This window comes from Homo sapiens, chromosome 10 (assembly GCF_000001405.40).
Source record: "Homo sapiens chromosome 10, GRCh38.p14 Primary Assembly".
NCBI lineage: Eukaryota > Metazoa > Chordata > Mammalia > Primates > Hominidae > Homo > Homo sapiens.
The window spans coordinates 116675510-116700653 of NC_000010.11; the positions used below are offsets into that span (position 1 = coordinate 116675510).

Consider the following 25144-nt stretch of genomic DNA (forward strand, 5'->3'; position numbering starts at 1 on the left):
AGCCACTTGGGCCACTGGGAGGGCAGGCTTACTCTGAGCTCCTTGAACAGAATCTTTGCAGAACTGGTCTTTTAAAGAAAGGGAGTTTGCACACCAATATGTTCCGGAATAAAAGCCAGAGCTGCTGCTAAGTAGAAATGCATTTTAACAGATACATGGTGATAATTTTAAGTAGAATTTGGTTTGCATAAATGAATACTCCTAAAGCTCTCCAAACCTGTGGTTCTGTTGGGTAAGTCAAGGCAGGTTGTTATAAATAGAATTCTCTGATTTTCATAAAAATCCCATTCCACTCCTAGAGAGTCTGATTTGGTAGGCGGGGGACAGGATACTGAAAGAGGTCCTGGTGAGTTTGCTATGTGTCCCTGGGTACTGCCACCAATGTAGCAGGAAAATGACATAGCCAGATTCCATTTGCTTGCAGAACTTCCTTTGATTCACACAACAGTTCCTTCTCCCCTAGCAGGGTGAGGATGTCTAACATGTCCCAGTAAAGCAAAGAATATGCATTTCCTAGGGCCTGCCACTCTCAGGTAACATTGCCTCAGAGCTTCCAGCTCTCTGATCTTTTTTGTTGTTTTAAAGTTTTGTTTGTTTATTTAATTCTTCCTCTTTGTCATTACCAGCTCTCTGACTTTTGAGGCCAAACGGAAAGCTTGGGTGAGACAAGCTCTCAGCAGCTTTGCAGTACGAGGAGAGGGATCCAGAGCCTATGCCCAGTAACCTCTCCCATACATGCCCAAGCCCTGCCCAGTCCTGCAGGGCCCTTGCCTGTGGCTCCCAGATCCAGGCCAACCTGACTCCACAGGCACCAGCTGGTGATGCTGGGAAAGCCCATCCCCTTTCTCAGCTCTGCCTCGCCGAGTGGCCGAGCCTGGCTGATACTTACGGAGATGCTCAATGATGCTATCGATGGTCGGCTTAAAAAGGGCGTTCATGGCATCTGGACTCATCCGCAGCATCCCCTGCGAGGACCACTTCACAAAATCCACACTGCAGGAGCATAGCATGGAGAAGAGCAGGCAGTGAGGGTCTACACGATACCCAGGCTTATCTGCATAGACACCTGCCCTGGCAGAACATCTGTCACTTCTTAGCAGGCAGAAAGGGGGTTGAAAGCCAAAAGCACCTTTGGAAACCCTAAACTGCCAGGACCTGGACCCTTAGAAGCTCAAAAGCTAAGACATAATCTCTTCTCTGTATCTTAAGTTTGGCTGTGACCGACCTTCCCCTGGGATAGTGGAGGCCAAAGTCTAGTGCAAAGACAAGGAGATAAAGGGCTCACTGTCTCTTTCGCAGGACCACACTTTGAACCCAACAATATTTGGATTCAAGCACGTTAAAAGCTCCCTGGCGAGTTTATTGTACTGCTACTTACGGCTACACATGTGTGCGCTCAGGTGCATGTCCTCAGCCTTCCAGGCACCTGTCAGGTGACAGAGTAAGCCTAATTCTACTAGGTGGCCCTCACGGTCTCTGTCCAGAAGCAGCAGTGTGGAGCAGAGAGTCCTGGACGGGAATCCAGGATTGTGGGGCTCTAGCCTGGCCACCACCACTGCGGAGCTCTGGGACTTTGGGCAGATTAGACTCCATTTTCTTCAAGCCCAGTCTCCACGTCTGGAAGTCAGGGATAACTGCGCTTGCCTTACCTCCTTCACGGGGGTTGTTGTAAAGACGAAGTTAAATACCATGTCTGTGAAAGCGCTCTGGAAACTTTCTGGCACTAAGCAAATGCCAGGGACTGTGTATTCCCCAAACCCACAGGGCGTGCCCCTCCTGTTCTCAGAGGCCAAGCAAATGGCGCCTCTGTCCCTGATGCAAAGTGCACACCAGCAGCTTCCCAGGAACATGTTCTAGATGCTGGACGGGAATCTAGAACATGTTGGTAAGGAATCCTTTCCATGGCGTAGGCCAAAGGACAATGTGGTGTGGTATGGAATGACCCCATGGCTGGCTGCAGCCTGTTTCTTAGTGGGAGGGTTGACAGGCCCCAGAACTGTGCAGGTAGGTCTTGGGATTCCAAACAGAGGACAGGTGCCCTCTGTGGGGGACTAACGGGGCAGAGAACATCAGCCCAGTAAGAGGGTCCAGACTGGCCCTGCTCCAAGGGCAAGAAGACCTGACATGAAATCTGCTTTCACTTCCACTAAAAGGAACCAGGGCTTCTTAGGGAAATGGCCAATTCCAGGCCTGGGGTAGGGAATGTACAAGATGAGCCAAGAGTGTCTTCACATACAAGGAGGCAAAGACACTGTCAACCACCACAAATGTCATGTCAAAGGGATTCAGAGCCAACGTGAGAAGGCTCCTACTGGCCGAGATGGGACAGTGTGGGTGTCAATAAGGATAGAATTGCCATTGTTTAAAATACATCAAATATGCTTAAATCCTCAAATTCCTAATGATACTCCCCCTCATGCCCTCACAAAAGGAAAAATTCATTAGCTACTTTGGCGGATACTAGGAAATTGATTCTTTTTTTTTTTTTAACTCATAAATGGAGGTTGAAACCCAACCTATTTATCCTGTCTTCCCTAAGTGAGCTGTAGTTCAGGGCAACCAAACCACTGAGGAGCCAAGTTTCTCTCTCTAGGAGTATTCTAGCTAAATAAATGAGGAAGGAGTGATGGACCAAGATGGTGGCCATGGAGCCACCCCTAATGCATTAGTGGACCAGGCAATAATCATCAATGGCTGCTAATATCACAAAAGGAGAGACAGGCAGACATTTCGTGTCCCCTGATGGGATGCAGTAGGAGGAACCACCACCCGTAAGGCAGATATGCCAAAGATTCAAACTTGAATCTGATTAAACCTCTAAGTCCATCTGCCAACTTGCAAAAAAAAAAAAAAAAAAAAAAAAGGCTATGGGATAGAACCTGCTGTGTAACACCACGGACGTGAGATGAGCAAAGCCCAGATGATAGGAAACTCCAATCTAAGGACAAACTACTAGTTTTGCCATCTAATAAATTGTGAAGGAAAAACCAGGAGGGGAACCTGTACATTAGTGGGACTCGAGGGGCGTATCAGATAGCTGCTATGTAGAGCCCTCATTTGGATGTTGGTACAAAGTGAAAAAAAAAAAAAAAAAGACAAATGGAAAAATGTTAATGTTAATTAGATACTTGATAATATTGAGGAATTATTAATTGTTAAGTGTTATCGTGGTATTGTGGTTGTGATTTAAAACTTGTCTCCTTTAGAGGTACATACTGAAATAGATGAGATGCTAATTTCTAAGATTTGCTTTAAAATAATTGGATTTAGACTAGCCAGGACCTGACAGTTGTTGAAGCTGGACAATGGGGTATTTTACAGGATAAATGTTTGACATGTTCCCTTACAAAAGGATTATTAGAAAAAGGTAATTATGAAATATGATAGATAGGTAAATCTGTCTGTAGTCATCATTTCATGATGGATATTATATATATAAATTTAAAATGTTTAAGAATATTAGAAATCTATTATTTTTATCTTTTTTTTTAAATTCGGCTTTAAACCGTCTTCTAAATATATTCATTTTGCAACAAGCTGAGACACAAAATCAGTCAAGGGACTCAGAGTGGCAAGAAACCTACATTCCCATTGGATTAATTCCACAAATATTTATTGAGCACCTACTGCATACCAGGTTCTCTTCTAGACACTGGGGATATGGCAGGGGCCAAAACTAAACTTCGCTGCTTTCATAGTTCCTCTGTTTTTAGCAAACACATAGATAATACTTGCCAGGTCCCAGGCATTGTTCTAAGCACCCAACATGTATGAATTCATTGCATTCTCACAACAACCCTTGGAGTTACATAGAATTATTATCCCCATTTTCCATGTGAAAAAAACTGAGGGAAGAGAAGTTGAGTCCCTTGCCCAAGGTCATACAGCAAGTGTGTAGGATTGGAACCCGAAGTCCACACTTCGCTCCTCTCTCCCATCAGCACGATCCACCCGCTAGAATGTCCAGAGCCCGAGGTGATGAGCCCAACTCACTTGCTTTTCCGCAAGGCGTGCTCCACACTGTGCCCGCGGAACTTCTTGTAGTAGTCAATGAAGGAGAAGGGCAGGGTGATGTTCAGCGGGTTAGTTCTGTCTGGGGCAGCCGCCCTTTTGCGAGACTCAAACGCAATCATTAAGTCAACCCAGGCTGCAGGGCGTTTGATTTTGAATTGTTCAATAAAATCCTCTCCAAATATTTTATACAGAAGTTTTTCGAACTCATAATCTACTCCTAAAGATCCATAGGGTCCGCCTGAATTGAGAACAAAAAGGGAGGCCATGGTGTTAAAAACCATTAGAAACCCAATCCAGACTCTGAGAAACAGGCCCACCTGTTCATCTCTGAGCCACTTAGCAATGGGACGGCAGCTATAAGTGTTTACTTACACTTCAGAACCCTGCGCTGCTTCTCATTCCATGTGGAGAAGCTTTTCCCTACAGAAATCTCTTGTCAACAATCTTTACTTTATTATTTTATTTTTGTGTTTTCTTTTTTTTGAGACAAAGTTTTCACCCTTGTTGCCCAGGCTGGAGTGCAGTGGCACAATCTTGGCTCACTGCAATCTCCGCCTCCTGGGTTGAAGTGATTCTCCTGCTTCAGCCTCCCGAGTAGCTGAGATACAGGCACGCACCACCATGCCCGGCTAATTTTTGTATTTTTAGTAGAGATGGGATTTTGCCATGTTGGCCAGGCTGGTCTCAAACTCCTGACCTCAGGTGATCCACCTGCCTTGGCCTCTCAAAGTTCTGGGATTACAGGCATGAGCCACCACTCCCAGCCAACAATCTATTTTAAATCAATTACATTTTTTAAAAAATCAATAATTTTATCTAACTAGGACCATTATGGTATTCCAATCCAAGACATCCAAGGGCGGGGGCTGGAAAATCAGCAGGCCTGGTCTAGTCCCTGTGTGATCCTCTAATTACTTATTATCCTTTCCCCTCCAACCTCCCAAAAGGGAAACAGCATGTTCTTTGGTTTAGCAATCTTTTTTTGAGAGTCTCGCTCTGTCACCCAAGTTGGAGTGCAGTGGCGCAATGTCTGCTCACTGCAACCTCTGCCTCCTGGGTTCAAGCAATTCTCCTGCCTCAGCCACCTGAGTAGCTGGGGCTACAGGTGTGCACCACCACGCCCAGCTAATTTTTGTATTTTTAGTAGAGACAGGGTTTCATCATGTTGGCCATGCTGGTCTCCAACTCCTGACCTCAAGTGATCTGCCTGCTTGGCCTCCCAAAGTGCTGGGATTACAGGCGTGAGCCACCGCACTTGGCCAATGGTTTGGCAATCTTGATCCAAGACAAGGTGAGGCCTCCCTAGAAAGTTCACCTTAGCACGGTCATGGGCAACATCAAGTTGCAATCTCATCCTTTCGGAATTTTCAGAAACCAGCGCCCTTGGCCAGGATCTGAAACAGGCTCGCTTTAGGCCAAAACCCAAGTTGTGGTGGTTTGTGTTTTAAAGAATGTTTAATTGCATTTTGCTTTCCAATTTCAAGCAGACATTAGTATCCTCCACCGCCTACGATCCCACATGTTAGTGGCATTCAAGAGAATAAAACTGAGAGTTATCTGAAACAAGTGAAAACAGAACTGCCTGGAATTGGCTCAGGAATAAGAAAATTAGCCCTGCAGGGCCTCACCTGTTGCTTTATACAGTTCCTTAAGGTGTCCCTCCGGTAACCGGATCTGATGGACTGTCAGGTCTACGGTGCCACCGCCACTGTCCACAACCACATACTTATCACCTGGCACAAAAACAGCCATCTTTTACACAGACTGTTTGCCAACCCCATCTGAAACAAGCTTGTGGGTGGTAACTAGGTAGACCCAGCTAAGTGCCCTCAAAACTTCTCATTAGCACAATGGTTTTGCTAATTAGCAGCTCTAGGAGTTAACCATGACCAAAGAGAATGCAATCTGCCCAGGAGGATGGTTAGACATGGACGATGGAGAACCCAGGTGAGTGAATCTAAGATTCACACATTGCTGCATACCTGGCACGTACTTAGTGGGCAGTTTCCTGCCACGTGAATAGTGAGTGCCCTAAAATCATCTGCGTTTCACCAAAGACTTACTCTGGAACTGATCAATTCCAATCCCTACCTGGTTTTACAACATGCAAAATTACAGCTCCCAAAAGAGCTCTCCCTGCATGAGTGGTCTTTAGAACCCACTGAGTTTGAACATTTTCCAAAAGTGCAAAAGGGACAAATGGGAATGGCTTTTCACGAGCAGCACAGGAAAATCCAGCAAGAGCAAAGGACATTGAAGGACGCTACCTTCCTCCAGCTCGGACCAGATTTCTCCTATGACATTCTCCACCAAAAAGGTCCGACTCTGCCGATTACGCCGTATGTGTTCCTTAGCTAGTGGCCGACAGAAAGAAAATGATGACGGGTAAGAAAGCATGAAAAAGCAGAGATCATTTGCAGTCAGTGAAGGCAATAGCATGAGGAGATTTAGGGATGGAACATTAGTGACATTTGACCAAAATAAGTCAATACGATGTCGGGAATCACAAAGCCAGCTCTTCCCAGAGAAAGTGATTTCCACCGGCCTTCCTCTATTCCTCGGCTTAGCCTGTGCCCAGCTGAAAAGCCCACCCTGATGAGATTCTCACAACAACCCTTGGAATTAGGTGGAATTATTATCCCCATTTTCCACGTGAAAAAAACTGAAAGAAGAGAATGTGGTCAAATGTGCGCCACTGCACTCCAACTTGGGTGACAGAGCGAGACTCTCAAATGAGACCTACCCTGGTCACATTTTTTGGAGAATGGGTTAATGAAATCGCCTAGTTTCCCGGCTTTGCTGCCCCAGGGAGGAAGCTATCTGCCAAACAGCCTGCAGTGCGCTCAGTTAAACAATTCCAAATCAAGGAATTTTGTCTGATACAAGGAATTTGGGGTGTGTTTTCCTAACATGCACCCTGGGTAAATAGACTGGGGGGGGGGGCCATTTCCTGACCCAGCTGAAGCCAATATGCATTGCGGCCACAAGGTGGCGCGTCTGGGCCTGGCAAACCCCTGTGCTGCCTTTTCCATGAACACAGGGACAACCTCCGCTCCTGCTGTGGCTTGAGGTGCTGAGTGGCGGAGACGCCTATGTGGCTATGAGAGGGCACAAATCATTGTCCCTATGTTCGGAGAAGGAAATCAGGTCAGGAAAGGTTAAGGGGCTTGCAGTTCCCACAATTTTTTTTTCTTTGAGACGGAGTCTCGCTCTGTCTCCCAGGCTGGAGTGCAGTGGTGCGATCTCGGCTCACTGCAAGCTCCGCCTCCCGGGTTCACGCCATTCTCCTGCCTCAGCCTCCCAAGTAGCTGGGACTACAGGCACCCGCCACCTCGCCCGGCTAATTTTTTTTTTTTTTTTTTTTTGTATTTTTAGTAGAGACGGGGTTTCACCGTGGTCTGGATTTCCTGACCTCGTGATCCGCCTGCCTCGGCCTCCCAAAGTGCTGGGATTACAGGTGTAAGCCACCACGCCCGGCCCCACAATTCTTTTCTTGCAGCCTGAAATTAACCCTTAGACCTTAGGCCCTCGTGCCTTTGAGATTTAACAACAGTGCCCGGCGCCACCCCCATAGTGCTCTCACTTAGCGCTCATATTGGTGCCTTGACCCTGACAGGGCGTGTCTGCAAACCCTATAGCCCTCGACACACCCACAGAGCCCTGGATACCAGGGAACCAAGTTCTGTGACCAAGGCTATGACCTACTTGCATTCAGGTAATTATTAAAGAGGAAAAGCTTTTTAAAATCGCCATCCTCAGTCTCCCTAAGGCGGTGCTCCTTCCCACAGCTAAGCGAGCGTCACCTAGGTCAGGAAAAGTCAGCCGGTTTCATCTGCATTTTAAACTCATCGCACATGAAGCAGACCCAATGAGTGACTCAGCAATAAATCAACAGTCTTAATGGAGAATTAATAACAGGCAATGGAATTAGATTAAGAATCTGTTAATACACAAGAAAGATTAAGAGCCTAGTACAATGTGAGGCCAATAACCGCTCTCAGGCTACCCTCAGATTCTTAGAGAGAAGCTCCCCGCCCCCAGACACTTGGTGGGTGATGAACCAGGGTAACCATGCCTCCATTTATGGGGGTCCTTGGAGGGGCCAGGTAGGGGGGCTGAGCAGAGAGGTGCTTAAAGCCCACCTCCTCCCGGAGTATCCTGATTCTTCATTATGGCACTAAGTGCCTTTAAAATCATCAGAGGGAGAGAGACATCCAGGGCTTGGGAAGGAAGGAGAGCAGGAGGGGGAGAGAGAGAGCAGAGGTACCCTGTGTAAACCCAGCTCCTACTGTGTCACTGCCGCTGTACCCATTGACGGCTGCCTTGCTGCTCAGCTCAATCATCTGGTGTAGCCGCAGCTTTCGGCAGTAGATAGAGGCTGCCTCAGGCTCCAAGGCAATGATGAGCTGCTCCGAGTTCTCGGGGGAGGCCAGGCCTGCCTGGAAGACAGAAACAGAGGCTGGGACCCAGGGCCCCCTGGGCCGGCCTGCTCCTAGGACACCCGTGCCTGGACTGACATCCCTAAGGAGGGCGCACTCGTGCTCTGCATCTGTGGGACATTCTCTACACAGTCCTCTGCAGAGCATAATGTCAGGGTGCCTCGGTACTGGGCCCCAAGCCAGATACCCAAACACCCCAGGGTGGCCAAAGAAAATGTATAGGCACCCTGGGGAAAACACCAGGTGCTCTGGCTGTGGGGCCTCTTGCACTTGGGGCCTCCTTGGCTCAGAGCTGAGCAGCACCATGGGGAGGAGCGGGGGGATTCCGGACTGCAGGAGGCACACGGGCTTCCATGCTCCAGTGGTGAAGGCATGGAGTTGCAGAGACCCTGAAACTTTCCAAACCATCACAGGGTGGAAGGCAGGTGATCTGTTCTCAGTTGTAATATACCACACGGTCTGACCAAATCGGAGCAAACCCCTATCTTTGGTGGCCTTGGAAACAGACCATGGCTGGGCCTCAGCAACACAAGCATTTGACTTTGCTATCTGGGTAACCGACCTGTTATCTCCAGAGCGCTAGGAGGGTTCCTGAGATTTGCCTACTGGGGGTGACAGATAAGCAGTGGCTCCAGGAGGAAGCCCCTCCTGGAATCCCATATAGTCCCTCATTTTCTAGAGTGCGGTTGAGTCAGCAAGAAGATATCTTATTCAAAGCCTCCACCCTTTAATAGTTTTATTATAGACATATATCACATATAGTAATAAATATTCCTTTAACAATCTGATCCCCAAGTTCTCATCTGTGGCTTCCATCTGCAAACATTTGGGGCCTTGGCCTGTAGTAGGCAGAAGTGCTTCTGCTCTGTGACATCTGACCAGTCCCAGTCACCACTCCTGTGGGCCTTCAGAAGGGCCAGCTCAAGAGGCCCTGGGACAACCCTTCTGAGGATGCTCAGAGAAACAGCATGGCTGGGCCTCTAACCAGGTCCCTGGCACCTCTCATGGCCTTGAGCTGCAGCGGGAGGCCCCACTTGCTTCTGGAAACCATTCAGGTACACGGGTGTCCTCAGTTGCCAGCCCGATGGACCACGGAAGAACACTTCATCCCTGCCACTGCCGTGGTGCTGACTTTTTGCCATTTCTTAGGAACCTTGGGATGCTGCCTTCATACCATGCCTACTGGGAGGAAGGCCTCAAGTTCTGTATCAGACCCCTGGGGTTTAGTGCATTCTTCTTGCAGACCAGGTTCAGAAGGTCTCCTAATGTCACACACTCACAAATAACTTCTCATCAGGCGAAGTCGGCCTCATCATGGGCAGAGGGGCTTGGGAGGTCCAATTACTGGGCAAGGAGGGAAGGGGATTTTCAGGTATTAAGAATGCAAAGTGGCCAGGCGTGGTGGCTCACACCTATAATCCCAGCACTTTGGGAGGCTGAGGCGGGCAGATCACCTGAGGTCTGGAGTTCGAGACCAGCCTGGCCAAGATGGTGAAACCCCGTCTCTACTAAAAAAAAAAAATAGCTGGGCATGGTGGGGGCAGTGCCTGTAATCCCAGCTACTCGGGAGGCTGAGGCAGGAGAAATGCTTGAACTTGGGAGGTGGAGGTTGCAGTGAGCCGAGATGGTGCCATTGTACCCCAGCCTGGGTGACAAGAGTGAAACTCCATCTCAAGAAAAAAAAAAAAAAAAGAATGCAAAGGACCTTCAGAGCTATTTATCAACTCCTTCACTTTATGTAGAAAGAGAGGGAGGGTGGCCCACTGTCCCAGTTTGCTCAGGATAGAGAGATTTCCTGGGATGTGAGACTTTCAGTGCTAAAACTGATACTACCAGCAGGCAGGTGACTGAACATCTTCACTCTGTAAATACCAAATGCCTCAAAATGGCAGAACCACATCTGGAAGGCTGACTTTATAAAACCAGATAAGAACCACCACTCTCGTGTCCTGCACTGTCCGTGGCGAACCCTCTTCCCATCACCTAGTACCCTCAGCTACGGCCAACCACCCGGGCAGCATCAATGCCTGTCAGCTCAGCCCATGGGTCAGAGAAGCTGGGTCTGCCCTTAGGTGACATCGGTCAACAGGGCCCTGACTCAGGTGCATGACAGGATTTCCCACTGCCCCCTATTCAAGCAAGTAAAAGTCCCCCCTCCCCAGCTTCACTCTCACAGGGTCACATTAGACATCCTTAGCACAAACATGGCTGGAGGTTAAAGTGAAAGAGGATGTGGCTCTCACACGTATGGTGCCCTCGGGAAAGGTGAAACCTCTGAGCCTGGATCCCAAGGGGTCGGGAGGAAGAAATCCCAAATAAGACCAAGAGGGGCCCCTTCCGAGGGACAGCTCCTGTGCTGATTCTTCCATCCTTGAGGTTGTGGAGTCAAGGACCTCCCAGGAGCATAGAAGGTCCAAGGGGGAAGCTTCCACAAAACGGGGTGAGGAAGAAGGGACAACTTGCTGCAAAGAAACTGCCAGGCCTGTATGTATACAATTCTCCTCCAAAGTTCAAACTTGAAAATAAACTGGGGATGGCAGTAGACCCATGAGTGGAGCCCAAGGAGTTGGTGTGAAGGAAGAAAGGCAAAGACCCAGACGCTACATTACGGTTACCATGTCCCACTGGGATGTCAGCCTGCCAGGTGGGACTTGTGGCAGTGAGGCCCCCACAGGGCCAGAAAAAGCAAGGTGGGCCTGGGCCACGGCAGCAGGGACAGGGATGGGAAGGGAGAAAGGGTGGCATAAGCTCCGCCCCTTGTCCCCTCTTCCCACACTGTAAGTCCCACTCCTCATCCCTCTTCCCACACCATAAGTTCCACCCCTCATCCCTCTTCCCACACCATAAGCTCCACCCCCACCCCTTCCCAAACCATAAGCTCCACCCCTCATCCCTCTTCCCACACCATAAGCTCCGCCCCTCATCCCTCTTCCCACACTGTAAGCTCTGCCCCCATCTCTCTACCCACACTACCCCTGAAATTCTGAGCAGGAACTCTGACTTAGATGGGAAATCTTTATATGGAAATTCAGATCCAGCAGTCTAGAGGGGTGAAGAGCCCTGGGTAAAATTCTACAACTCGAGGGCATCCGAGTGTGCCTGGTGTGCAACTGAAAATCCAGCAGAACTGTCCCCCGCCCAGGACACTCTCACATCCTGAAGACACTGAGGCTGCCCCAAGTCTGTGGAAAACAGCTTGGGCTGGCCACTCAGGGGAGACCTTTCATCTGTCCCTCTCCAGCTGGGCTGGCCTCAGCTCCACAGCAAAAGCTTTGGCCTGTTTCCATAGGGGGTTCCCCACTGTACCAAGATGAGGATGCAGGTGGGAAGCGAAGGTGAAGAGGACCCCACTCCTGAGCAGAGGAAAAGGCAAGGTCATGGGCCCAGGCAGTGTCTGGGAGGCCTCGGACAAAGTAACCACACTTCTTTGCTTGAACCAGCTCCTGTCCAGTGAGGGGCCGTGTCCTACCTGCAAACTCCCATGGAAGCCACAGTAGAGAGCTGAGGAGAGGTGAGAAGAGGCAGCGGACTCTGCACAAATTCAACCTCCCCAGGAGTCCCAGAACTGCTGTGGACTCCGAGAAAAGGAGGAAATGCTAAAGTATCGCCCAGGCTCTCAAAAACCCAGCTGTCTTTCTCTCTGGGCAGGAGGACTCAATGCTTTCAAGTGCAAGCTTTGTTTCTGCATTAACACTTGCAGCCACCCTCAACAGAAGCCCTCCACTTGGCAGCCCTCAGCAAACCTATGGGTCTGTTTGCCTGGGATCAGGCCAGGGTCAACTGCAACCACAGAACACTCTCCGTCTTTGCTAATTCTGCCTTCAGAGAAGGTGCCTCATGGTTACTACTCCCACGTGAGCCCTCCCTCCACTGGGGCCCCTGCCAAGCACTTAACATATTCCGTCTCCAGTCCTATACGCCAAGCTTGTCCAACCCATGGCCCACAGGCCACATTGTGGCCCAGGACGACTTTGGATGCAGCCCAACACAAATTTGTAAACTTTCTTAAAACATGATGAGTTTTTTTTTGCGATTTTTTTTTTAGCTCATCAGCTATCATTAGTGTTAGTGTATTTAATGTGTGACCCAGGACAATCCTTCTTCTTCCAATGTGGCCCACGGAAGCCAAAAGATTGGACACCCCTGTTATTAACGGTGCAGACATGTGTAGCCTCTCCTGCAGGATGGTGGATTTTCTAACAGCAACGCTCAGTTCTTCTTGCCCCAAAGCACACAGTAGGTGTTCAGGAGGTAGCTGCTGAACGAATGGACCCACCAGCCCTCCAGCCAGCCTTTTTTCCTGCAGTTTCCTGGCCCTCATCCCTGCATTCCACAGACATGACCTGGGGATTCTACATACAGGAAGTATCTGAACCAAGAGCATGCTTCCCCATTTGCCTCCTCCAAGAATTCGGGGCAGCAGGAGCGACATCGTAGTAGCTTTTTAGAGCCTTCCTCTGTGATCACGAGTTTCACTCAGGAGAAGCAGGTGAGAAAACCACACTCCAGGGAGACTGAGAAGCTGAGGAGGTGGTGTTTACACCAACTACTCTGCTCCTCTGCCTTGCAGTCAGCCAGGAGAATCTGCCAAGGGACTGTGTCCACAGCTGAGAAAAAATAGCCAGATCAGTTAAGAGCGCTGCTGGTCTGCGGTCAGGCTACAGAAAGGCTACAGCTGCACCAGTTCGGGGTGTTATGCTGTTTTGTTTTCCTGATGATCATTTCTCACTGCAGCTTGTTCAGAAAGGGAGGCAGAAGAAGCTGCGTCTCCATGTTAGATGAGAGGATCATACATATGGGAGCAGCATTTATTTAACACGTTTCCGGAGCCTACTAGAGTTACACATTTTAGGCAAAATGCCCTTTGATATAAACTGGACTATTTCCTATCCACAATCCCCACAGCTTCAGAACAGTCTCCAGTTCTAAGTCTTTTCTAAAGGCCTCAGAAGAGGGATCAGCTGTTCTTTCTGTTATCATCTTTTCACTGAATGCTCTTAAAGGGTCTAAAGATGGCTTGAGTCTGTGAATTACAAAAGATAAAGGTTTAACCCATCTTTTCAACAAGCACTCAACTCAAGGCGAGTTTCTGGAGTTTCACCGATGAAACTGCATCTGTGCACCCTCTCTGCAGCCTTTACGGGCAGTGAGCCATAGCCTGCCCCAGCAGAGGCTCCAGAACTCCAGACCTGCTCCTCACAACATCATCTCCCAGCTCTGCTTCCAGGCTGCTTTCTCCTCCACCTGGCAGGTGGGAGGTTCAAGTTCAGCCCCCACCACTGCCCAGAAACCTGTGCTCAGGAGGCCTTTGATAAGCCTGAAAGGAGGGGCTCCATTTTCCCCACACAAGCAGAGTAGACGTGACCAGTTCTCCAACTGTCCTACTGGAGTAGCCACTCTACCTCATCCTTCCAGCTCTCCTGCCTGAAGTTGGGCCCATGGGATGGGATGCACTTTGGGTAGAAGGGTCAGTGGGCAGCCACCGCCTTGCAGAAGGAGACAGATGACCACCTGATTTAATACCTTTCACATACATGGGTGCCTGGTGAGCACTCGCAGAAGCTGCTAGGCTGAGAACTATGTTCTGTGCTCAGACACTGTATTAGTCAGGGTTCTCCAGAGAAACAGAAGCAGTAGGGCATACAGACACACAGACAGACAGACAGACAGACAGACAGATAGATAATTATAAGGATTTGGCTTATGCAGTTATAGAGGCTGAGAAGTTCCAAGATCTGCAGCCAGCAAGCTGGAGACCCAGGAGAACCCACGGTACAGGTTGGCAGGCTCGAGACCCTGGGACAGTCAATGTTTAAGTTTGAGTCCAAAGGCAGGGGAAAAAAAAAAAAAAAAACAATGACCCAGCTCAAAGGCAGTCATGCAGGAGGAACTCCCGCTTACTCGGGAGGGTCAGCGTTTTGCTCTATTCAGGCCTTCAACTGATTAGATGAGGCCCACCTTCCTCAAGGAGGGCCATTGCTTTGCTCAGTTTATTGATTTAAATGTTGAACTTTATCACAGGAACACTCAGGATAATGACTGACTAAATATCTGGCATCCTGTGGCCTAGTCAAGTTGACATATAAAATTAATCATCACAGGTACATATCTTTCTTATTCTGTATAATAATGGGGGATGGAGAGAGAGTAGAAAGATGTTAATTTTGCTCATAGAGTTGCAAATTTCACTTCCACTTTGTCCTAAGACTCTCCAGAAGACAGGCTAAAGAGACTACAGCAAAGTCTGCAGAGCAACTGTGCCTCCCAATACACCCCTCTCCCTAACCCAAAAGTATGCAAGGCTTCAGTGAACCATTTGGCTGGGAGCAACCCAGGGGCCAGATCCCTGCCTTGGTTGGGTATAGAATCCAGTGCCTACCACGGTCCTGACAGAGAGATAGGCCTCTAGTTTAGGTTTGTTTAATGAATAAATAAATGCATGAACAAAAAAAGCAATTGAATGATCGCCGCCCTCTTTAAATCCACTCAGCGGCTGTCAATGGAACAAAGCAAGTATCAAATCAGAACTGCAAAGGATCAAAAACGAAGCTGCAAAAACACTGTACCAAAGTTAGCCAGCATCGAGGAAACAGCATGTCTCTGGACTTCCGAAAGCAAATTCCCCACATTCATAAACACAGCTCACATCTGTCCTCACCCAAGAGCTGCAGGCCTTTTTCTCTCTGGGGTACCTATTTGATTCCAACAACCCCCAGGGATTTGGTGCCCTCCACTGTGACTCCCCAGTGTGAGGGCCCCACACCTCTTGTCCCACCTCCTAGAAGAGCCAGCCCAGGGCTCAAACTCCCCTGACAGATTCACCAGCCACTGCACCTCTCTTTTTTTTTTTCAGGCTATAAATAAGAATTGACCTTTTCGTGGGTCACACATTTGTTGCTGAAGTCTTCCTGTGGGGCTGGGAAAAGAGTCAAAACCATGAATCTTGAATATTCTTCCTGGGAAAAACTCAGAACGCCAGGTGGCGTCTCTGCAGACAGCTGTGTCCCGATGCCCCATTTCTGGGCCCTGCCGGAAGGCTGACACTATGGAGCTTGTGCTCCGTGATGCCCAGGGCTTCTGTGAATGGCTAAACTGCATTTTGTAATTCTCTTTTTAAAGAGCTTGCCTCTTTCTGGAGCTTCCACCCTCTTCCTTCATCCCTATAAAAACAGATCTATTTTTGGCAGGTACATACACTGAGCCAGATTCTCACACTGCAAGGAGGCAGGGGAGTGCAGGGGAAGCAGCCTGGGGAAGGGGAGAGAGTGCAGGGAGGAGACGACTCGCCCTTGACTGCACGCAAGTTGAACTGTGTGCTACTTGGAGTCAAGCCTTCCGAGTGAGCGCTGAAAACAATTCATGGTGCTGAGGTTCCCATGGCCATTCAACTATGCTGGGGCTCAGGGTTGACTCTGTGGGTTTTTTGTAAAGAAAGTGTCACAAACAAAATCAGAGGTACGTCTCCTGGGAAAGGTGGGCAGGATGCTTCCTGAGAGTCATGACAGTGGGGAGGGGACATCTAATGACTCTGGTGACTTGCCACACAACCCAGCCTCAGCTGAAGACTCACAAAACTGACTCTCAATACACAGAGAGCTGACCCAGGCCCCAGGCGTGGGTGTTCATACGCCCAGGGGCTTAAGTGCAACAGGAGCCAGCTCTGTCCTGTCCCTGGGACCATAACAACAGGTGAGCATGGCTCGCCATTCCTGCCTGGAAGCCAGATCCTCACAGCAGCCGCCCCTAGTGCCCACAGGGATGGGCTGGCCACTGGCACTGGAGCATCTGTCTCCCTGGCCAACAAGCGCCTGTGCCTGGTATGCCCCTTGGCCATGCCACTGCCCTCTGCAGGGGTCTGCCACCTCCAACACCCCCCCGCTGAGTGAAGTGTGCAGGGAACAATCACACTTCCCTTCTTTTCTGCGGCAGACATGCAGTTTTCAGCCTCCACACCAAGCTGAAAATGCCTGGTTCGTGGCCAATGGCCTTGGCTTGCTTGCTTTCTTGTTCAAATATTCCTGTTTCCCAAGCCTTTCCCTTAAGGTTCTCACTTCATTTCACCCACAGAGAAATGTCTCTGAACCACAGCTTTGAAATCCTAGCCCTGGAGACTCCGCAGTAGAAACATGACCTGGAAATGTAGAAAGCCAGGAAGGAAACCGAACCCAGCTCTTGTTGTGGGACTGACCCCCATGGCTCCCCCAGGAGGAAGCTGAGGAAAGGGATGGCTCCTTGTCTCCCAGCTCCCACCCTGGCTAGGGGAGCCTCCTTGCTGCCTCCCATGGAGGCCAGTGAATGTGGGAGGTACCTGGGCGGGGCTACAGTCACCACCCTGGACATCTTGAGTCCTTCTCCTCCGGCTTCCACCCGCCCTGACTCTACCCTCACCTGGTAGGCAGCTTGTCTCATGAACTGCTTGGCCGGCTGCTTCCAGATGGCAGGCACCGTGATGACCCATCTGACATCAGAGTTCTCGAACTCCGAACCCGCCTGGTCACTCAGCTCCTGAAGCCAAGGGAAAGAAATGCAACAGGTCAAGTGGCAGCTGGTTCCTGGAGCAGCCTCCTGTGGCTTCACTGAACCCAGGCTTCCTGCCATGAGCTCTTCAGGAGCCAGTTTCAGGGTCCCCCAAACTTACCAGCATCAGAGAGCAAAGATCTGTTTCCTGAATATTCTGCAAGCCGGGAGCTCTAGCCCCTTTCCCTCACTGAATGGGACCGTGGGCTGGAGAAAGGAGGATCAGAGGAAATCCCTTTGGCCACTTCCTAATCATGTGACTTTGGACAACTGACAACCTCTTAGGCCTCAGTTTCCATATCTGTGCAGTGGGGATTATAATGCCAAGCTCCAACGATTGTTGAGAGGATTGATGATTTATGGAGAGCTACATTTACTGAGTGCTTATCACGTATCTGCCACCTTATTAAGCACTTTGCATACCTTGTCTCTATTCATCCAGTCAAGAATCCTGTTAGGAAGGGAGTCTCACTGCGCCCCTTTCCTACAAATGGGAATACTGAGACTTTGATATGCTCAGTACCTTTTTGACCACTGTGCAGTTAGAAAGTAGCAGAGCCAAAATTTAGACCCAAAGCCTAGTCTATCTTGACTCAGCAAAGGTCTGAGTTGTTACACGTGGTCCCATAGGTAAACAGTGCCTGGCCCACAGTGATGCTTACCAGCCGGTGGCAGCTGTCATCATTGTCATCTACCTTATGCAAGGCCAGCATTATCAGGGGCATTTTCCCAACAGGAAGGGAAGGCTATGAATGATATGACCTCATCAAGAACCATGCGGCCCTTAACTTTTGGTTAAGGTTAAACGACATCACTGAGGCCCATGTTGATAAAGGGGCTGGGCAGAAGCATCAGAGGTTTCCACCTGGTTCACGGGGACAAAATATGTCGCTGGAGGACTTCTTAGACTCAGTATTCCCATCTGCGCAATGGAGATCATAAAACTAACTCACAGCATTGCTGGCGAGATTAAATGAAAACACATGAGGGAATGCTGGCCCAAAGACCTCTGATAAATGCCAGTTCTTTCCTTCCTTTCTCTTCCCCTTGCCACGTTCACCAGACAAATCTGTAATCAAACCGAAACACACACCAAGGCACTTCTGTGTCTAAATCAGCTCTGGAGAGACAAGAAAGATTAATAGACTGATGAAAAAACAAACAAACAAAATTGCTGACACTGTCTCATTTTTCCTATTGTTTCAAACAGTTATCTTGGGTCTGGCCCACCCTCTCTCTCTCTGAACTAACTTCCTCTTTGATCAGCAAATGATTTTTTTTTGCCTTTTTCTAAAAATTTTTAATAAAAATGTTTCATGGTAAAAATGTACACACCCTAAAATTCATCACCTTAACCATTTTTAAGTGCACAGTTAAGTACATTCAGTAAACTATTTTAAAACATCTTTCTAAAAACATCTCTGCTGTGGACCAACACAAAGCAGCCATTTTTTTATCATCATATTTTGTTTCCTTGCAGGTCTGCATTGGGTTTGAAAAAGCAGGTGAGGGTATGATGTGTGTTGGGAAGATTCTAAGCATGGCACCCATTACCAGGCAGGTGATTTTAAACTCTTTAAAAGGAAAAGGGTTCAAAATACACATGAGGGGCTTCCTTGAGCTGTCTGGAGAGTTTAGAGGAGCTGTCAGTTCCCCAGCGGGTAGGGAACAGCTTGGAAGGGAAAGGCGCCAGCATTAATTAATTGACCATCTCATGTGTCAGGCACTGTCACGGGCTTTCCTTCATGACCCACTGGGTGGCTTCATTTCTGTGACTCTTGGACGTCCCACTTGAGTAGGTATCCTGCCTTTGCTTATTCCAGCCAAGCAAGCCATAACCCCCTCCCTCCAACTCCAGCCAGCCCCTGGCAAGGTCTAGCTCCTCCTATACATCAAACAGCTTTTTCTCCTGGAATTTATTCACGGCATATTCCCTGCTGGGAGGAGCTACCTTTGAAAGAAAGGTGCCAGCAAGTTCCCTGGAGTCTCTCTGGCTGAGCTGAGGAATTCACAAACAACCACCCACATGGCCACTTGACCTTCTGGGGCCGTTCCCTCCACCTCCTCCCTCCCCTTCTGAGATGGGCTGCTCACTCCTTTCCTGTTGGCAAATTTGAAACGCACCAACATCCTGGGCTTTCTGAGTCCTAAATTTTGCCCCCGAGCCCCTACGGCTCCTCCTCCTAACTCAGGAGCCCCTGTGCGCTCTGCACTCTCTGCTCCTTCACCTGCCTCGGTGCCCACAGACACATCCTCACGTGGCCTCCTGGGCCACCAGGCGCTGAGCCTGTCCCTCTGCAACCTTTGCTCTTCCAGCAGACCTGGGTCCACCTCGTTGTGCCCCTCCCCTTCTGCCCTTTTGCCGCCTGGAACAAAGGGGCTGACCCCTTCTCCAGTTCCAAGCAGGCTTCACAACGCTTGTCTCTGACTGTGGTCACCTTCCCGAACACCACCCAGTCCCCTCCCTTCCCTCTCCCATGCCTCAACCCCCACCCCACAGTGACCTTGCTGCCAGGCCTCCCCTGTCCCCTTGTCCCCTTACTGGTGGAATACTGTTTGCCCAGAACCCACTCCTTCCCAGCCCACGGGCCCTCTTTCTTCTTGGTTGTCAGATCCTCCTTCTTGCTCCCCAAATGACCCTGTGGCTCTCAGTCTCAGAGCCTCCCTCTCTCCCTGCAGACAAACCTGCAGAATCTGAGTCAACTGCCTCCACACCACCGACCTCCACCCTGCAGGCTCTCGGGATTACTGGGGTCTCTCACTCTATGCTGTGTTCTGAATGTGTCCCCGAAAACTCATGTGTTGGAAATGTACTCCCCAGTGCAACTGTGTTGAGTGGGAGGTGGGGCCTAATGGGAGATGTTTATGTCATGAGAGCTCCGGTCTCAGGAACGGATTTTTGCTGCCATAAAAAGGGCTTGCGGCCAGGTGTGGTGGCTCACACCTGTAATCCCAGCACTTTGAGTGGCCAAGGTGGGCGGATCATGAGGTCAGGAGTTCGAGACCATCCTGGCCAACATAGTGAAATCCCATCTCTACTAAAAATACAAAAATTGGCCGGGCGCGGTGGCTCACACCTGTAATCCCAGCACTTTGGGAGGCCGAGGCGGGCGGATCATGAGGTCAGGAGATCCAGACCATCCTGGCTAACATGGTGAAACCCCGTCTCTACTAAAAATACAAAAAATTAGCCAGGCATGGTGGCGGGCGCCTGTAGTCCCAGCTACTCGGGAGGCTGAGGCAGGAGAATGGCGTGAACCTGGGAGGCAGAGCTTGCAGTGAGCCAAGATCACGCCACTGCACTCCAGCCTGGCTGGGCAACAGAGCGAGACTCCGTCTCAAAACAAAAACAAAGAAAAAAGAAAAAACAAAAATTAGCTGGGCATGGTGGCACACACCTGTAGTCCCAGCTACTTGGGAGGCTGAGGCAAGGGAATTGCTTGAACCTGGGAGGCAGAGGTTGTGGTGAGCCGAGATCGCACTACTGCACTCCAGCCTGGGCAACAGAGAGAGACTCCATCTCAAAAAAAAAAAAAAAAAAAAAGGCTTGCAGGTTTCAGGAGTGCGTGGGCTCTTTCAATCCACATCCCCTTGGCAAGAGGATGCTGCATTGAAGGCTCCATCTTAGAAGCAGAGACTGGGTCCTCACCAGACACCAAACCCACTAGCACATTGATCTTGGACTTCCCAGCCTCCAGACTATGAGAAATAAATTTCTGTTTTTCATAAATTCCCCAGTTTGTGATATTCCGTCACAGTGGCACAAAATAGACTAAGACACTTGATATGGTGTGGCTGTATGGTCCCCACCCAAATCTCACCTTGAATTGTAATAATCCCCACGTGTCAAGGGTGGGGCCAGGTGGAGATAACTGAATCATGGGGGCAGTTTCCCCCATACTGTTCTCGTGGTAGTGAATAAGTCTCACGAGATCTGATGGTTTTACAAAGGGAAGTTCCCCTGCACAAGCTCTCTTGCCTGCAACCATGTAAGACGTTCCTTTATTCTTCCTTCGTCTTGCACCATGATTGTGAGGCCTCCCCAGCCATGTGGAACTGTAAGTCCATTAAACCTCTTCCTTTATAAATTACCCAATCTCAGGTACGTCTTTATTAGCAGCATTAGAACAGACTAATACAACACTCTACTACTATCCCGGTGGCCACGTCACTCATTCCCCCACTAGAAATCCTTTGAGGACTCCCCATTAACCAAGAAAAAGTTCCTTGGCTTGGCATCCGCAGCTCTGCACTACCTTATCCTGAGCTCACGGCATCCTGGCTTTATCCCACAGCCTTACCCTCCTTCCACCTCAACTGCTTTCTTCCCACAGCTGTTTGTCTGCTGCTTTCTTCCTTCTGAGCTGAGCCTGTGCCATTCCACCAGCTTGAAATACCCACCCTTCCAGTTGCTGCCTGTGAACCACACCCCACCCTGCCCCGAATCCACCTCCTACAGGGAGCCTTCCATGATGCTCCCCAATGGACAGAATCTCTGCCTCCCCCAGCACCCACAGTTACCCCCTCACCACTCTGACCCTGACCACACACTCCTGTATACTGAGTTGATTTCTACACTGCCATAACTTGTATAGGATTTCACACATAAAAGGTACTCAAAAAAACAGGTACTTGAATAGATGAAAGTAATACCATGTTCTCACTTCTTCTTTGTCTCCCTCTGACCCTATTTCTAGAATTCACTAAATTTCCTTTAGTGGTCACACAATACCAAATGCTTCTGAAGTTCCCAAATCTTTTTGGATAAAGCTCAAAACATCAGTGCTCTTTAATCATCTGATCCCCACCCACTGGTCTCCATGCCTGTGGGAGGAGACACGAGTGGACAGCCACATTCCACTTCAAAATTAGATGCTTTTGGAATTTCAGGCCACCATGACCACAGACCTTTGTGGGGGCGACCCAAGGGGGCTCACGCTATTAGCTTCTTCCATGGGGTCTGGGGGGATAGAGGAGGAGGGGGAGGAGGGGGAGAAATAGCAGCCACCATTTACCCAGTGCTTACTATAGACCAAGCTCCAAGGAGGGCACTGCATGTCCAGTCCCATTTTCTATCAAATGGCCTATGAGGTACAGTTACCCACCCCACTCTCCAGTTAGGAAAGTGGATCTTGGAAAGATTAAGTACCTTGACCAAAATGGCACAGCTGCTAAGTATGTTTCCTGCCTCTCTTTTTGTTTTACTCAGATATAATTTCCATACCATAAAATTCCCAGTTATAAAGTGTGTAGTTCAGTGGGTTTTCGTATATTCACAAGGTTGTGCGCCCAACCCCATTACCTAATTTCATCACTCCTCAAAGAAACTCATATCCTTCAGCAGTCGCTCCTATTCCCACTCCCTGCAGCCCTGCGCAGAAAAAGTCTCTGCTTTCTGTTTCTGTGAAGGTGCCTGTTCTGGACATTTCATAGAACTGGAATCACATGCTATGTGGCTATCTGTATCTGGCTTCTTTCACTTCACATGGCGTTTTCAAGGTTTCTCCATGTGGTAGGATGTATCAGTAGTTCATCCTACTGATGAATAACATTCATTGTAAGATAGATCACATTTTGTTTCTGGCTGAATAACATTCATTGTAAGATAGATCACATTTTGTTTCTCCATTCATCAGTGGATGGGCATGTGGATTTTTTCCGATTTTCGTCGTTGTGAATAATGTTGCTATGCACATTCATGTATACGTGTGTTTGTGTGGACAGCATGTGGACTGTTTCTACTTTTCACAGTTATGAATAATGTTGCTATGCACATTCATGTATACGTGTGTGTGGACATCTTCTTTCATTTCTCTTAGGGATTTCATTTCTCTTAGGGATTTCATTTCTTCTTTCATTTCTCTTAGGGATTTCTTTCATTTCTCCACCCAGGAGTGGAGCTGCTGGGTCCTACGGTAACTCTGTGCTTTACTTTTTTAGGAATTGCCAAACTGTTTTCCAAAGAGGCCGCACCATTTTACTTTCCCACCAGCAGCGTGTGAGGGTTCATCCTGTTGTGTTGACTCCAAAGCCCACACTCTCCCTCCAGGCTGTGCCTCCTACCCTGGCCAGCAGGTGCAGCAGCCCGAGACACGGAGCTGGCACGGGTGCCACCGCCTAGCACACAGCTGGCTGGCCTCAACTATCAGTCCTACCTTCAGCGCCTGCTCCTTAAAGTACTGCAGGGCATAAGCAAAGATTTCAAGGGCTTTGACTTTCTTGCCATTTGCTGCCGTCAGGTCTGTATCCATGGTGAGGTCCTGGTAGGAGGAAGAGGAACAATAGTAAGAAGATGACACAGGAGAAACATGTCTCCTGGCTTTGGGGACTGCTCCAAGGGGACCTAGAGGATCCTGGTGAGCCATGTCTGTGTTCCCCCATGCTTAAAGAGGCAGACTAGGATGGCGCATCCCCCAAAATGGGGGCTGGCAGCAGTGTCCCCTTACTGTGTAGGAGGCTCTGGCTGTCCCCTCCAGGCCCCACCTTCACTGCTCCCTCCTTCTCTCCCTCTAGCTCCTGGATCCTCTGGGAGCAAAGGTTTCAGGGGCAACAGTAGAAGTCAGGAAGAGAGAATAGGCAGCAGGTGCCACTCCCCATGCAATTTCCGTACAATTTCCACATTCGAACACACATGGTCACGCTCAGGATCCCCCCTGATGGAGGCCTAATCGTACCAACCCACTGCCATCCACGATGCTAAACAGACGAAGCTTTCATTCCCCATTACGCTGCCAACCAAGTCACCAAAATAGAAGAGCTCCTATTTTAAGGCTTGCCCTATCTAATCCGCCAGGAGCCCAGCATCACTGCTTTCCTCTCTCCACCAAAAGTGAAAGCAGCTGCTGAGTGTGGTCCCAGAGAGAGGATGCTCTGCAGAGCCTAGATGCTGGTGGACGGAGATCATTAAAAAATGATGAGAAAAGTCCCTGTGGGGTAGGGATGGGCAGGGAGTGAGAGCAAAAATCAGGAGGAAGCCCCCAGGTCTCCTGAACCAACAAACTCATTACTGCCAGGGGGAAAAAAATCACTGGGGCCTCCAGATTGTCCCAGGCTGGGTAATTATGCTTTGCCTTGGGAGTGAAAACGGGCATTGAGTTACTAAGCTAGCCATGTGGAGCCCGTCTGTGGCATCCTGACCTATCTGCACTTGCTCACTCCTCCCAGCCAGCTGCCTTCTGCTCCTGGTGCCCAACAAAGATACCCCAGCTTTAGGGCAGCAGCTCCCAGGCTCAGAAAGGTGGTCAAGTGCCAGGAAACCATGGCTCTGAATTGAAAAAAATCCCTGTGCTTCCTTCCACCTGCCATCCTGATACTCAGCATTGAATCCCATTAGGCAAAATAGGAACAGTTCATTTCTAGCAGAACTTGGTCTGCACCATAGAAGGACAACCACGCCGATGGGCACAGAGCCTTGAAAGGCAGGGTGCTGGCTGCTGAGTTTCCCACTTATGTTTGCTTTGTCATCTGCAAGTGCTCAGCAGACAAATGAAAGCAATTAGAATAGGAGCTTGCACTTGACTAGAACTTAATCTGCACCAGGCATGGCTCTAAGAGCTTTACGTATTTTGATTCCTTTAATCCCTACAAAATCCCCATGAGGAAGGCACTGCTATTGTCTCCATTTGACAGAGAAGATAAAACAAGGCAGGGAGGGGTTACATAACTTGGATTACATTTCTCAAAGGTACCAGTGACCAGATTGAAACCCAGGCCATCTGGCCCCAGAGTCCGTGTTCTTAAACATCATCATCATCCTGCCTTTCTAAGCACTGACAGTTAAGGAAACTTTATGGAATAAAATGCTTAACTCAAAAAAGTTCTGTCCTATGCCCTATCCTTTTCTACGAAGCTTCGGGGTGGCAGGGGGTGCCTGTTTGATGTAGGTGTCTTATGGAACACTGGCTTGCTGGGAGCTGAGGACACCACTCAGGGAGTTGGACCTCCAATTATTGGGCACTTGATGTCCTGAGCTCCCCCTCCCCACATAAAGAGCTGGATGTACCAGTTGTTACTGGTTGTTACATCCAAACTGGTTAGTTAAGAGCTACTGCCCTGAGCTCGCCATGTGTCCCTAGCCCCCAAGTGGATCCTTCATGATACACTGATCTCTCAATAATCCAGAAACTAAAGGGAGAACTCCTGGCACAGCAGGAGGGCCCCAGCACCCCACTTCC

The 25144-nt window shown here is 49.2% G+C and overlaps 1 protein-coding gene across 6 annotated transcripts in view, besides 7 other annotated features; it reads right to left on the reverse strand.

The window, feature by feature from the left end:
* The window catches only part of HSPA12A (heat shock protein family A (Hsp70) member 12A), a 179556-nt gene that overhangs the window by 4318 nt on the left and 150094 nt on the right, over nt 1–25144 (reverse strand). For 5 of the 6 annotated variants that reach the window (XM_005269673.6, NM_001330164.2, XM_011539579.3 and 2 more), the window contains 7 exons: nt 23126–23230; nt 16842–16958; nt 8282–8453; nt 6282–6368; nt 5643–5747; nt 3994–4252; nt 890–993 (listed from right to left, as the gene is read on the reverse strand). In XM_005269673.6, coding sequence (XP_005269730.1) covers nt 890–993; nt 3994–4252; nt 5643–5747; nt 6282–6368; nt 8282–8453; nt 16842–16958; nt 23126–23230 — 949 coding nt within the window. The remainder of the gene's footprint in view (nt 1–889; nt 994–3993; nt 4253–5642; nt 5748–6281; nt 6369–8281; nt 8454–16841; nt 16959–23125; nt 23231–25144) is intronic. The other variant, XM_047424972.1, reaches the window with a different exon arrangement.
* Nucleotides 817–1327: an enhancer, noted in NCBI's record as "H3K4me1 hESC enhancer chr10:118435837-118436347 (GRCh37/hg19 assembly coordinates)". NCBI's record gives its function as "activates a minimal SCP1, AML or CMV promoter by ChIP-STARR-seq in naive H9 embryonic stem cells {active_cell/tissue: H9 hESC(naive)}" and the evidence as "EXISTENCE:reporter gene assay evidence [ECO:0000049][PMID:30033119]".
* Nucleotides 817–1443: a biological region, named in NCBI's record as "Sharpr-MPRA regulatory region 10762".
* Nucleotides 1149–1443: a silencer, noted in NCBI's record as "tiled region #10762; K562 Repressive non-DNase unmatched - State 22:ReprW". NCBI's record gives its function as "represses a minimal TATA promoter and a strong SV40 promoter by Sharpr-MPRA in K562 cells {active_cell/tissue: K562}" and the evidence as "EXISTENCE:reporter gene assay evidence [ECO:0000049][PMID:27701403]".
* Nucleotides 6813–7314: an enhancer, noted in NCBI's record as "H3K4me1 hESC enhancer chr10:118441833-118442334 (GRCh37/hg19 assembly coordinates)". NCBI's record gives its function as "activates a minimal SCP1, AML or CMV promoter by ChIP-STARR-seq in naive H9 embryonic stem cells {active_cell/tissue: H9 hESC(naive)}" and the evidence as "EXISTENCE:reporter gene assay evidence [ECO:0000049][PMID:30033119]".
* Nucleotides 7315–7814: an enhancer, noted in NCBI's record as "H3K4me1 hESC enhancer chr10:118442335-118442834 (GRCh37/hg19 assembly coordinates)". NCBI's record gives its function as "activates a minimal SCP1, AML or CMV promoter by ChIP-STARR-seq in naive H9 embryonic stem cells {active_cell/tissue: H9 hESC(naive)}" and the evidence as "EXISTENCE:reporter gene assay evidence [ECO:0000049][PMID:30033119]".
* Nucleotides 15590–16328: an enhancer, noted in NCBI's record as "H3K4me1 hESC enhancer chr10:118450610-118451348 (GRCh37/hg19 assembly coordinates)". NCBI's record gives its function as "activates a minimal SCP1, AML or CMV promoter by ChIP-STARR-seq in naive H9 embryonic stem cells {active_cell/tissue: H9 hESC(naive)}" and the evidence as "EXISTENCE:reporter gene assay evidence [ECO:0000049][PMID:30033119]".
* Nucleotides 18611–19582: an enhancer, noted in NCBI's record as "NANOG-H3K27ac-H3K4me1 hESC enhancer chr10:118453631-118454602 (GRCh37/hg19 assembly coordinates)". NCBI's record gives its function as "activates a minimal SCP1, AML or CMV promoter by ChIP-STARR-seq in naive H9 embryonic stem cells {active_cell/tissue: H9 hESC(naive)}" and the evidence as "EXISTENCE:reporter gene assay evidence [ECO:0000049][PMID:30033119]".